The sequence below is a fragment of the Homo sapiens genome, chromosome 1, assembly GCF_000001405.40.
Source record: "Homo sapiens chromosome 1, GRCh38.p14 Primary Assembly".
Lineage (NCBI taxonomy): Eukaryota > Metazoa > Chordata > Mammalia > Primates > Hominidae > Homo > Homo sapiens.
In genome coordinates this window covers 147,043,494-147,058,345 of record NC_000001.11, presented here as the reverse complement: position 1 = coordinate 147,058,345, position 14,852 = coordinate 147,043,494, and the positions used below count along the sequence as shown (strand labels likewise).

General features: G+C 39.8%; 1 pseudogene; it reads right to left on the bottom strand.

Moving 5' to 3' along the window:
- Positions 4,112-7,601, bottom strand: IGF2BP2P2 (IGF2BP2 pseudogene 2; annotated as a pseudogene).

The window sequence follows — 14,852 nt, the reverse complement described above, 5'->3', positions numbered from 1 at the left end:
ATCACATCATCTGCAAATTGAGATAATTTTGTTTTCTTTTCAAAAATATTTTTTCTCATGTTTATTTTTGAAAGATAATTTGGCCAGGTGTAGAATTGTAGGCAACAGTTTTTCTTTTTTTAATTACTTTAAAACTATTGCAAACTTCTTGTTTGTCAAGTTTCCTATGAGAAATCTTATGCCATCCTTATATTTAGTCCTCTGTATGTAACATGTTCTTTCCCCTTTTATTACTTTTAAAACTTCCTCTTTATCACTGGTTTTGATGGATTTGATTAAGATGTTCCTGGTTAAGTTTTCTTCATGTTTCTTGTTCTTAGAATAATCATATTTCTGTAATATTTGAAGTTTATGGTTTCCATGAAGCTCTTTAATCTTTCATCCGGTATGTTTTAAATATTTTTGTCTCTCTTCTCCACTACACACCCTTCAGGGATTCCATTTAGCCCTATACTAGGGTGTTTACAGTTTTTATGCTGATAGTCCTTTTATGTTTTCCAGTCATTTGTTACTGTGGGTTTCATTTATGTTAGTTTCAACTTCTATTCCTTCTAGCTCAATAATCTTCTCTTCTGCAATGTTTAATCCAGTGCCTTCTTCCATTTCAGACTGTAAATCATAGTTTTTATCTACAGAATCTTATATTTAAAAAATCTTCAATCTCTCCATTTAATTAAAATACAGTTATAACTGCTCTAATGTCCTTTTCTGCTATTTCCAACATGTGTGTCAATTTCAACTAGATTATTAGATTCTTCATTATGTATCATGTTTCCTTGCTTCTTTGGCTGCTTGATATTCTTTTATTTTATTTTATTTTTTGGGATGGAGTTTCGCTCTTGTTGCCCAGGCTGGAGTGCAATGGTGTGATCTCAGCTCACTGCAACCTCCGCCTCCCAGGTACAAGCGATTCTCCAGGTACAAGTGATTCTGTGCCTGGGCAAGTAATTTACTTTCACTGGGATTTTTTTTCCCCCACATCTAGAAGCTTAAGTTGGCAATTAACTTTCTCAAAGAAGTTATGTGAGAATTAATGAGACCTAAAAATTGCATCTTTAATATGATAGCTAACCTTTATTAGTTACAGTGTTCATGCTGGGTCAGGTACTGTTTTAAGATCTTAATGGATATTAACTCATTGAATCCCCACAAGTTCATGGGCACATTCTATTATCCCTGTTTTATAGAGGAGGAAACAGATGTCTAAAGCTAAGTAACTTGCCCAAGCTAACATAGCTAATAAGTAGCAGATCCAGTATCAACCTAGGCAGTATAGCTCCTCCGTTTCCTCCACCGTGTGCCGTCGGTTAGTACAGAAATAGAAACCATCACTATGATAGCAAACATAGTGTTTAGTATTCCTTTCAGCTTATCATTTTATGCTTATCCCTATAAAGTTACACTGGGGAGAAAACAAATAAATGAACTGAGTGTCCATTTATCCTCATCTAACATTAATTGTTACATGCCCTGAACAAATAGGAAAAAGACTTATTTCAGAAAACAATATGTATGTAAGTGGCCACTAAAGACAGTTTTCTGTATTGTTTGTATTCATTCCTGGGACATGTATTTAGAGACTTCTGTGTTCCAGGCTTGTGCTAGATCTGGTAAAACAAAAATGAGTAAAACATGATACTTATTCTCAAGTATCTCACACTCCTTCTTCTATGATAGATTCTTATAAGCCCTTTGATATTTAGTAGAGGCAGTTCTTTCCTCCAGAAACTTACAGTGTCCTTTCTGCATTAGGATCTTAGTGCAACATTGCTCTGCAAACTTGGACCAGGGCAGAGTGAGATAGCAGAGGAGCTGTGCCAGCGTCTACAGCGAAAGGAAAGGATGCTGCAGGACCTTCTAAGTGATCAAAACAAAGAAGTGGTAGAAGATGAAATGGAGATTCAAGGCCTGCTTTGGTCTATGCGCACCGGGGAGCAGGAAAGCCAAGTAAGGATTAATGCACAGATCAGAAAAGTATCACATAGTGCATTTATAGTCTGCAAATAGGAAGCATTTGCAGACTATAGATGCATGTATATTTATATATTTTACAGTCAACTCTGTTAGTTTCTTTCCTTCTATTTATTACCTAGACCACAGTTTTATTTATTTATTTATTTAGAGGTGGGGGTCTCGCTGTGTTGCGCAGGCTGGTCTTGAACTCCTGGGCTCAAGCAATCATCCTGCCTTGGCTTCCCAAAGTGCTGGGATTATAGGTGTGAGCTGTTGCACCTGGCCTTAGACCACAGTTTTACATTAATCATCAAAGTATGAAACATTTCTTGAAAACCTTGCATTTGGAAGGGTGCCTAAACAATACATGTATCCATTAACTTCATTACATACATTTTCTTTTCCTTAATAATCTGATCATTTTGAGAGAAAGGAGTAGGGGTTGTGAGTGTTTTGGTTTTGATTCTAAATTATTAAGACTTGAGTGATATTTTGCATTTCCAGTCAAGGTATGGGAAAACTTACACTCAACATGTTTACTCTTAGTTTTTGTAAAATCTGAGTTATCTTAAGAGGGAAAAAAGATTGCATTTTTCAGAGGTCATGGTGAGAGTAAACAATCTCATAATAGTATGGGGTATATTAATTTCACAATATTTAAGAAGTAAATTCTTTTTTTTTTTCGAGAAGAGAGAATATGGTGCAAGCCTTAATGGAAAGAAATTCAGAATTACAGGCCCTGCACCAATATTTAGGAGGGAGAGACTCCCTAATGTCCCAAGCACCCATCTCTAACCAGCAAGCTGAAGTTACCTCCATTGGCCCCCACTCTTGGAGAACAGACTGATCAAGTAAGAACTATGGACTTAGATAATTCATGCTGATTCCATTTTCTTTTTACATTTGAGGTGTAAGTTTGATAATTTTAATACCAAATTCTGAGAATATTCTCAGTACTGTCATTGTGGTCATAGTTCCTGCATCTTCCTAAGTCCCCCGACTTTTCCAATTTTTTAGGGTTCAATGCAGATACCTTCCAGAGATGATAGCACTTCATCGACTGCCAAAGAGGATGCCAGCATACCCAGATGCACATTAGATAAGTATCAAATTTCATTTCATTAAGGGACTTTGTTTTTCTCTTGTTTTTCCTTCTAGTAATCTCCGTATTAATAGGTTTGGCCAAGACTCTTTTCTCTTCCTACCTTAATGGAACAAACAAGTTTGGAATTCCTCTGAAAGGCTGAAGAACTGTACTTACCTTATGTTGAGTTGAGGTTATTGCTCTGGGTTCACAATTTGGCCAGAGAAACTCTATCATTATTCTCCTTTTCAGATAGCTTTGCAGGGATTCAGAAATGCAGGAGGTTCCAATCCTGCACAGCAGAGCCATGAGCTGACTTTTTTCCGGGTATCTTTCAAGTCTGGGGCCACTCACTGTAACTTGACGTCACCTACATGAAACTGTTAGGAAGGGTAGGTGGTGTACATTGAGTTATTTGCCAAGCCTAGCCCCATTCAGGGGATGGTTTAGAAAAGCCTTACAAGTAGTCATTCTCTAGCAAGAAAGCTTTACACTAATCAAAGAGTAAAAGAATGTTGGATTTGTTTTATTTATTCTTTATTTGCCTTTTTAAAAAAGTGTACTTTTCCCTAAAGTTTTTGATTTTGGAAATTTCAAACCTACAGGAAAGTGGCAAAAATAGTATAGTGAATACTCATATACATTTTTATTCAGACTTACCAGTTATTAACATTCTGCCACATTTGCCTTTTTTCTTTCTATTACACACACATATGTAGTTGTAATGTATTTTCTGAACCACTGGGGAATTTCTTACAGAAATCATGACATTTTATTCCTAAATACTTCAGTAAGTATTGCCTAAGAACAAGGGCATTCTCCTACATAGCTACAATATAATTATCACACTCAGAAAATTTAACCTTGATATAGGCTTCGTATCTAATATACAGTCCACATTCAGAGTTCCTGTTGTCCCCATAATGTTCTGTATAGCTACTTTGGTTTCCCCCAACCCAGGGGTTATGCATTGTGCTTAGTTGTCATGTCTCTTAGTCTCTAATCTAGAACAATTGTCTAGCTTTTTTTTTTCTTTAGTGAGATTTGCATTTTTTTTCTTGTTAGCTGGATATATTTCTTTTCTTTCTTTTTTTTTTTGTCACAGAACACTGTTTGCAATAGAGGAAACTGGCATTGCAGTCTGGTGGTATAATGGCTTATTCACATAAAACAGTACATGTTCATCCTTTAGCACAAAAAGTCCTAATGGCGCATACCCTATTAAAATTCAGGACATCTCCAATATTATCTCTGTCTGTTTTTCTTTGTCATCTTTTTTTTTTTAAATAAACATTTTCAAGGTTTGTCCAAAAGAAGGCCATATAGGTTCTTGGCTAGCAGAAGACAATTCAGAACAGCTGTTGCACACTTGGACTGTCACCTTCTCCAGGCTGGCAGTTGATATCTTATTTTTTTTCCAACTAATTTTTATTAAAAAAAATTAAAAAATGCTCCAACTATCAGTTTTACAAAATCTCTAAGGGAAACACAAGAGCAAGGTGCTGAGGTAAAAAACACCTGAGGCAGCTTTTTCTGTGTGTTTTTCCCATTAAAAAAATCTGTAAATTTAATGCCCTGGGCCAGCAACCTTGGTAAATTTCTACTTTCCTCCACATTTTTTTTAAAGAAAGAAATCATTTTGCTGAATATTGATGGCTTATACACCAAAATGCAAAAAAGACAAAACACCTTCTTTCATTGTGGAATTTTTTCTTTGTTTGGTTGATTGGTTGGTTTGATGGGTTCCTGTTTTCCTCTTCCAAAACGCTAGGACATGTACCATTGACTCTTGTTCTTTTGAGTAACCAAGTGTAAATTGAGGTTGGTTTGTGTGTTTCACTTTTGTTCCTTTCGTGTGATGCGATACTCAGAGCACTGCTTTCCCTGTGAGGGAGTGAGGTGCATAGATACGGGATTGAGATGGAGGGATGAGGGAATTCAAAAGAATGGAGATGAAGAAGACGGGGAGGGGAGGGAGGGGAGAGATAAACAGAGAGAGATGGATAATTATATAGCAGTATGCAAAAATCCAGTTTAAAACCTGTGAAGCAAAGAGAAATGGGTGTAAGAGCTAGACAGGCATGAGGAGTGACAGAGTTTCTTCTTCAAGGAGATGGTATCCCTTCTGTTGACATACACAGGTGATCCAGAACTGCTGTGATTGTCCTTCCTTTGAGATTTCCCTCTGGGTGAATTTTGTGTGGGTGGCCTCAAAGCTCCTGTCTATACTGTGAGACCTCCCAAAGAAAGACTTTATTCTTTTAAAGTCTAGAAAAGCCTGCTTTCTCTTTAAAAAGAAAAAAAATTAATGATTGATTAAAAATTGTAGATGAGTTATTTGATATATTATTTCTAAAATATATTACTGCTGCAGGCACCCTGTGTAACCCACAGGCCACATATCTTAACATCTTTCCCTTCTAATATGTATACACATGTACAGAGATGACTTGTCACAAAAAAAGGGTGTGCATTTTGCTTGGCTTTGAACGCATCACTATGTTAGTTCAACTAAAAGGGATAGCGTCGTGGGAGTTAAGGAGAGATCGGAGTGGATGGTGAAGTGGATGGCTGAAGCCTGCAGAAGCCCTGATGGGGGTGAGAAGCGGGCCCAGTGGTTCTGGCAAACCTGGCTGACCTTCCCCACCCCTCCTCGGCCCCTGGAATTCTCAGGGCCTCTTCAGAGTCCGTGGCAGCCTCCGCAGACTTCTCATTCCTCAGATGGTCTTTGGTTTGCTCCCGATCTGGCTGGCTGTGTTTGGTCTCATTCTGTCAGGTGTTGGAAGGGCTCCATTCATCCGTTGTTTTGCTGGTGCCTGTGGGAGCCTCACTTGCTGTGCTGTGAGGCGACTCCCTGAGGGTATTTCTGCTCTTGCTGCTTCACCTGTTGTACAGTTTCCCTGATCTTGTGCTATGCAGTTGGGGTAGCAAAGAAGTGTCCAATAATTCTGACGATCACTTCCTCATTTTCATCTGGCCTTTGGTCACGAGGCACGATGACTTCTGCACTGGTTAAGTTCTGCAGTTCATTCAAGGTATTGACACCTTTGCCAATCACCCGGCCAGCTGTGGAAGAGGGCACTCTGATACGGGCTTCCAGCTTCACTTCTTCTTTGGGGTTAAAGAAGTTTTCTTCTTTCAGTTTCCCAAAGATCCGTCCCTGGGCCTTGAACTGGGCTTCCGGTGGCCGGGTGATGATGACCATCCTTTCGTTGACGTCTGGGCCTTCCGCAAGGGCGATCTTGATGGAGGCTGTGGCGAATCTCGCCAGCTGTTTGATGTGTGCTCCCCTCTTCCTGATAATGGCGCCCACAGCCTGGGTTGGGATGAAGAGATTCACAACCTCCTGCTCTGGATAAGAGTGATGATGCGGGAACGGGCCAACCTGGTGATGGGGGTACAAGCTGGAGAAGTATCCGGAGTGCGTATTAACAGCCAACATATCATTTTCAAAGGTCTCACGCAGCTTCTTCATAATCTCTATCTCAGCACTGGCACAGGCCTCAAACTGTGCCCTTCACAGTGATGATTCTTTCCTGGTTATTTATGCTCAAATCCTGCAAAGATGAGATTGCTATCTTGGTCCCTGTTTCATGTTCAATTTTCTTCAAATTTCTGCCTTCTTTTCCAACCAAGCCATTGTGGGCCAAGATTTTCAGAGGAATCTCTTCGGCTAGTTTGTTCTCATCTGCCTCTTTCTGCATGATTTCAAGAATCATGAGGCATGCTTCAGAAGTCCCCCCTGGGGTGGCATGGATGGTGACAGGCTTCTCTGCAGCTCCAGAGTTCTCTTTTCTATGGATATCTATCCGGGACTGGGTCTACTTAGTGATGTTCTTTATGGTCAAGCCCTCCTTTCTGATGATGGCACCAACAAACTGCAAACTGTAGGGGACCAGGACCTGCAGCAGGAAATCAATCTGTCTGGCCTAAGAAGCGCCCCCAGGGTCGTGGCCTTGCTCCCCGGGAAGAGTGGTCCCCACGCTGGGCTCGCTGAGGGGGCGAAGGGGAGCTCACCTCTTCATCCGGGATGTAGGAAATCTTGAAGGACTAGTTCTCAAACTGATGCCCGCTTAGCCTCTCCATGTCTATTTTCTTCTCTTGTTGCATATGTGACGTTGACAACAGTGGTTTCTGTGTCTGTGTTGACTTGTTGTTCCACATTCTCCACTGTTCCATATTGAGCCAAAAGTCCATCCAACACCTCCCACTGGAGGTGAGGAGGGATGTTTCGAATCTGAATTTTTCTCCTCCTTAGCTTTTTAGAGACTGAGTAATCAACTTCCATGATTTTCCCATGCAATTCCACTTTACCCGAGAGGGTCTCGATGGCGCGGATGGCCCAGTTCTTGTAGGGGTAGTCCACGAAGGCATAGCCGGACTTGAGCAGGACCTGTCCGGTGGGGGGCAGCTTCCTGTCCCCAAAGAGCTGCCAGAGGTCGTCGGCGGTGACCGCAGGGCTAAGGTTCCCGATGTAAAGATTGTTCATCACCCGTCTCTTCCCCGGGAGCCCGCGCCTCCCCCGGCCTGGTACCCGGCGCTCCTCGCCTCCTCCGCTGCCCTCCCCGCCCACCGCCCGCCGGCCACCCACCCCCACCCTCAGCCTGGCTCCCCCGACCACTGCCGCCCGGCCCGCCCGGGGGCAGAGGCCGAGATTGGCATTTTGAAGAATCCAGGCCAGATAATATTCCTCAATTTAGCTGTGATTGTTTCCTCATGGTTAGATTCGAGTTAAACATTTTTGGCAGGAATACCATATGGGTGACTTCCTTCCTTCCCTCCTTCCTTCCTTCCTTCCTTCCTTCCTTCCTTCCTCCCTCCCTCCCTCCCTTCCTTCCTTCCGTCCTGCGTGGCTGCCTGCCTGCCTCTCGGTTTCAAGCAATCTTCCCGCCTCAGCCTCCCAAGTAGCTGGGACTACAGGCATGCGCCACCATGCCTGGCTAGTTTTTTTGTATTTTTTCTTAGAGACAGGGTTTTGCCATGTTGGCCAGGCTGGTCTGGAACTCCTAGCCTCAAGTGATCCACCTACCTCAGCCTTCTAAAGTGCTGGCATTACAAGAGTGAGCCACCGCGCATGGCCTGGATGACATCTTTTTTGGTGCCACACGTCATTGCATGATAATCAGTTTGTGTCATCCTTGGTGATATTAAATTTAGTCATTTAGTTAAGGTTGTAGCTGCCAAATCTCTCCATTGTAAAAGGTTTATTTCCCCTTTAGTATATAAGTGATCTGCTGGCTGAATGTAAACTACGTTGGTAGTTTAAAAATAGTGATTTTCAGGGTTGGGCGCGGTGGCTCATGCCTATATCCCAGCACTTTGGGAGGCTGAGGCGGGCAGATCACTTGAGCTCAGGAGTTTGAGACCAGCCTGGCCAACATGGTGAAACCCTGTCTCTACTATAAAATACAAAAATTAGTCGGGCTTGATGGTGCATGCCTATAATCCCAGCTACTCAGGAGGCTGAGGCAGGAGAATCGCTTGAACCTGGAAAGAGGAGAGATTGCCCCACTGCACTCCAGCCTGGAGGACAGAGCAAGACTCAGTCTCAAAAAAAAAAAAAAAAAAAAAAAAAGAAATTATGATTTTCTGTTTGTAAAATTTCTTCTTTGTTTATTTGTGGGTATTATTTATAAAGAAGAGCTGTCCTTTCCTTATCTCTATACCCCATTTGTTTTTATTAATATGGAGTTTTAAAAATCATTATATTATTGATTTTGGTCATTATTTCCTTTAATGCTCAAATTAACCCATATTTGGTCAGTGGGAGCCTCATCAAGCTGTTTCTCTGAGCCTTTGCCATATCCCCATTAGTTTTTTTTTTTTAGCATAGTTTGATAGTTTCTGGCACAATAAGATGTTCTATGATTACCTTTTGCTTTACCTGCCTCAGTCCCAGAATCAGCCATTATCTTAAAGAGCTCCCTGGTTCCTTTTGGTGGGTAATGGCATTCAGAAACTATGATCTGGACACAAGATGTGTTCATTGCTACATGAATGCCTTTTGCTTCTAGGCCCTTTTAAGAGAACAGAGCTAGCAATGAATATTTTTAAGTATGTTTGTGCGTATTTGTATACATAATGAAGATTTGATACTGATTTCTGTAATTCCAATTTAACAATATAGGTTCTTTTTTCCCTCATTTCATATTTGTATCTCCTTGAGAGCCCTGGTTACTTATAGCATCAATATGTTTCAAAATATTTACACATTTGCAGAATACTATAGTATGCAAAGGTAGTTTCAGAATTGCTACATAAATACCACCATCAACAATAAAGTATTAAGTAATATTTAAGATTTTTTTGTAATTCTTTTTATCCTTAGGATATTTTGCACTGACAGTGTTCAGTTAGAGTAGTGAGTTCAAAAATTATTTGGATTAATTTTTTTATTATCTTCTGGGTAGTTTCATTATCTATTTGCTATATAGCTCTATTTATTTATATTAGTATTCAATTCTAGACATTTTCTCTCCCATTCATTGTCAAGCTGACTTACACTTAAAAATTAAACATTTACACAGTTCAAAACTCCAGTATATAAAACAATATACTCAGATGTCCCATATTTCCCTATCCCTTCTCTCCTGTTTCCACTCATCTCCTTCAGGTAATCAGTTTCATTTCTGGGTTATTCTTCCTGTATATCTTTTTGCAAAAATAAGCAAATGAATCATCTGTGTATATGTGATGTATATATATATATTCTTATTTCCCCTTTTTCCTAATATAAAACCTACTACCTTAGATGTATTCTTAAGCACATAGCTTGTTTTACTTAACATATTCTTAGAATCTCAAAATCAGTCCATAAAAGTTCATAAAGATCATCCTTATTCTTTTTTTACAGCAGTATATAGTGCCATCTGTGAATATACTATAGTTTATTCAATCTTTTCTTTATAGCATCTAGGATGATTGCAGTATTTTGCTATGATAAATAATGCTACAAAGAACAATCTGTGTATGTTTTCTTTTTTCTTATTATTGGAATGTGTCCTCTATAAATTACTCAAAGGAGGCAGCAAATATCACATTATGTTAATAACAATGAAAACTAGTGCTATATTTTCATTTTAGGAGACTTGGACACAGTTGTAGGGCTGGACAAAGAACTGAGTAATGCCAAAGTGGAACTTGAACTCATGGCTAACAAAGAAAGAGAAAGTCAGGTGAGTTTTCTAGTCAAGTCTTAATTTCTAAATCCCTATTATTTTTTCTTTCAAAATAGTTTATATTTAAAAGCATATAATTCTCCAAGTATAATATCTGAGTCCAAATGCCAGGTATGACTTTTTTCTTTTTGGAGATAAGTTATTTTATATATACATTATCTCAAAAAGATGCTCCTGTTTTTAGATTGGGACCATTAAAACTTATTAAGTGCTGGAAAAACGTAACCCTCTCTCCCCATTGCTAACTGGAATAAAATAATTGTAAGGGCCGGGTGCAGTGGCTCATGCCTGTAATCCCAGCACTTTGGGAGGCCGAGGTGGGCGGATCACTTGAGGTCAGAAGTTCAAGACCAGCCTGGCCAATATGACGAAACCCCGTCTCTACTAAAAATACAAAAATTAGCCAGGTGTAGTGGCGGGTACCTGTAATCCCAGCTACTTGGGAGCCTCAGGCAGGAGAATCGCTTGAACCTGGGAGGTGGAGGTTGCAGTGAGCTGAGATCGTGCCATCACACTCCAGCCTGGGCAACAAGAGCAAAACTCCGCCTCCAAGATAATAATAATAATAATAATAATTGTAAAGCACTAGTGAAAAAAGGAAGTGTTGTGTGATTGCTGCTTAGAGTTATGACATTAGACCCATGAAATCAGTTTTAGAAACATGAAACGAGAAATTTGAGTATAATCAATGTTTATTGAGTACTCATGTGCAATGTACTGTGCTAGGTATTTAAATTAGCACTAATGCTCACAACTCTACACAAAGTAAGTGGTGTCGGCCCAATTATTATAGACGAAGAAGTTGAAACACTGATTTCTCTTTTAAAATGGGAGTGGAAAATAGTCAGGTAACTAATAAATGCCAGAGTTATGATTCAAACTCAAGCCTTTTGTGACTTCACATACTTCCTAAGAAGATTCATTTCCTAGAGCACATTTTTCCCACCTTATGCTTTAACTCGCTCTAGCATAGAGTTCTCATCAATTTTTTTAGAAGAGGCCTTTCAGCCTTAGAGATTCCCTTCCCCCTGCCTTTCCTCCACAGCTAGTTGCATATTCAACTATGATGTTGAAGAAATACTAGGACCACAGCGCAGAGTTACAGACTGAAACTAAAAGCTTATTTGTTACTATGTTGGCATCTCTTTTAGAAGATCAGTCAGTGTCATGGCTTCCTAAACTCAGTTTAGCTAGCTAGTCCAAATAGCTCTTAGTTTTTTTTTTTTACCTTTTGCCATAGCTAGATCTGTAATATAAAACCTGTGTTTCTATTTGTGATGGAATTATCATATTTTATCTTTTGATTTCATTACCATATTTCTGCTTACTAACAGACTCATGTTTTTCAACTCAATTAGTTTTCAGGATATGAGAATGTGTGGCATTTAAGAAATACCAGTTTTAAAAATCCCCTAGTCTCCCTTCCTTTTTGTGGTTCTACCTTAGCCGTTATCTGAGTATTCATATCAGATATTTTAGTTTCCACATCCTCTTCCTGTGTTTCTCACATTTATCAAATCCAGAGTAATGTTACTTTTTGATTCTGTCCTGTTTTCAGGATCATGAAATTGTAATGCCTATGAATAGATATTTTGAGTGAGTGATATTTAGCTATTGCTAAATTCCTTTAAAGGGTTTATTTAAAATAATTTGTCCTTACCATAAAGATTGTATGGATATATGGTATCTACAGGAAAGACATTATAGCCTAGTGGCTCTGTGTCAGCTTCCCTGAGTTCACATTCTGGATTTACCACTTACTAGCCAGCCCTGTGATTTTTGAACAAGCTCCTTAATTTCCCTCAGACTCAATCACCTTGTCTGTAAATTGAAGAGTAGAAGAAATCACCTTATGTATAAATCAAAGAGTAGTTATCTCATAGGATTTTTGTGAGGATTCACTCATTCATTCATTAGCTATATGGGGACCTTCTCTAAGCTTGGGCTAGTGCTGGGGATGAGGTAGTGAATGAAATCAGTAAGGTCTCTGGCTGTATGTAGTTAATTTCTCCTGGGGAGATACAGACAATAAATAAACATTATAATTATAGAGTATAGTAAGTGATATGAGGGAAATGGTAGAAAGCAACATGGATGGAGACCATCTTAAATAGGGTGGCCAAAGAAGGCTTCTCTGAGCAGACGACATGTAAGCTGGGACCTGAGGATGAAAAGGAGGCAGCCCTGGGAAAGATATTTCAGGCAAAGGGAGTAGTAGTTGTAAAGGCCGAGTCAAGAGAAAGTCTGGTGTTCCTGGAACAGAAAAAGTCTAGTGTGCCTACAGTCATGAGTGAGCAGTAAAATGGCAGATATCAAAGTAGGAAAAGTAGGCAGGAGCCAGATCACTAGGTTTGTTAAAAGGATTAAATATACACAAAACATTTATTAGAGCACCCGGGGCATAGTAAGTGTTAGCAGCTATGGTTATTATCAAGATTTTTTTTTTTTTGAGACGGAGTCTTGCTCTGTTGCCAGGCTGGAGTGCAGTGGCGTGATCTTGGCTCACTGCAACCTCTGCCTCCCGGGTTCAAGTGATTCTCTTGCCTCAGCCTCCTGAGTAGCTAGGATTACAGACACACACCAACACACCTGGCTAATTTTTGTATTTTTAGTAGAGATGGGTTTCACCATGTTGGTCAGGTTGGTCTCGAACTCCTGACCTCGTGATCTGCCCACCTCAGTCTCCCAAAGTGCTGGCATTACAGGCATGAGCCACCGCGCCCTGCCTATTATCATGATTTTTAATGAACTTTGTCATAACCAAGTACTTGTCATTTTCTGGTGAGAACACTGAAAGTTTAGGGCATGTAGTGCCAGCTTTTGGCAATATTTCTTCATAGGTGGTGGCGTGTTCTTCCATCAGGAGGCATGTAATGTTTGGTGATCTCTTGTGATGTTAGCAGCTGTTGCTGTTTGATGCCTTATCCATTAATTCATTAAGGGTTGCAAAATGGAGATATCCTAATGCTATCATTGTTTTCATTTGTTAGGTGAAATACATAAAAACTTCATCTCTTCTTGCTTCTGCTAATGGTGACCATTCTTTTTCAGTATCATAATAAGCTTGTTAAACAAATTTGATGTGTTTCATAGTGCCAGCTAAAGTGGAAGACATCATTAAGAACAACTATGACATCTTCCCATAAAACATCCTTTGTTACCATACTGCATGGATTATTGATTTGATGCTGTAGAGCCCTATTCATGTTCTCGTTTTCTTTTGCATTACTGGCTGATAGTGATATGATATGCAAAAGCATTTGCCTCAGTGTTAAAATGTAAACATGGCAGACATTGTTTCCTCTTTTCACAGATGGAACTTTCTGCTCTACAGTCCATGATGGCTGTGCAGGAAGAAGAGCTGCAGGTGCAGGCTGCTGATATGGAAAGAAGATCTCATAAAGGTCTTTCAAAACTTTTTAAAGACCACTGGAAATGTTCACAGCTCAGAATACTTGTAGGGCCTCTTCAGACAATATTTGCACACATTGACTCCCTTGGCCAGTGATTATCCATATCCCACTTGAAAGTATAGGCAGAATATTTCAAGAACATTTGTTCCCATGCTCCCCTCTGCTGAATAATCCTTTTATTACTATTTTCACATCCACACTTATTTTTTGACTTCTAGGACCTGCAAATGCAACTGGTTGATCCTGAAGACATAAGAGCTATGAAACGCCTGACCCAGGAAGTCTTACTTCTTTGGGAAAAAGTTGCTTCAGTAGAATCCCAGGGTCAAGAAATTTCAGGAAACCAAAGACAACAGGTAAGTTATTGGAATATAAACCTTATTTATTTATTTACTTTTTTTGTATTTTTTTTTTTTTAGTAGAGATGGAGTTTCACCATGTTGATCAGGCTAGTCTTGAACTCTTGACTGCAAGTGAGCTGTCCTCCTCAGCCCCTCAAAGTGCTGGAATTACATACAGGCATGAGTCACCACATTGAGACAGGGTCTCACTGTGTCACCCAGGCTGGAGTGCAGTGGTACGATCATAGCTTACTGCAGCCTCAAACTCTGGGGCTCAAGGAATCTTCCTGCCTCAGCCTCCTGAGTAGCTGGAGCTGCAGGTGCACACCACCATGCCTGGCTCAAACTTAATTTTTCTACTGTGAAATAAACCATGGTAAAGCTGTCAATCTCAGCTATTTGTGGAGGGTTAGTTGATGGTATTTCAGAGAGAAACTGTGCTCTGAAGTTTCTTACTTTGGTCGGTAGCAGCTATAGATGCCCCTTTCTGACATTTGTAGTTCTGAAAAGAGCAGCAGTTCTTTTGGACACATACCAATAGTTATCCTCACACTCATACCTAAGTCACCTCCCTCTCAACTGAATCTTTCTCTTTTATCTGCATTTAACCATGTTCAAATCTCTCCCAGTCAAAAAAAAAAAAAGAAAGAGAAAGAAACCCCTACATTTGCCCCAAATTTCTTTGTAGCTACAGCCCCATTTAACTTTTCTTCAATGCCAGACTTTTCCAAAAGACTCATCTCTCTCACTAACTACTCACCCCACTCCATTCTGGCTTTTAACTCTACCTTAAACAACTCTGGTTATACATTATCATAGCTCATTACCTTTATAGCACTTATTACACTCACAATGACACACATCTATGATTAATGAATGTCTT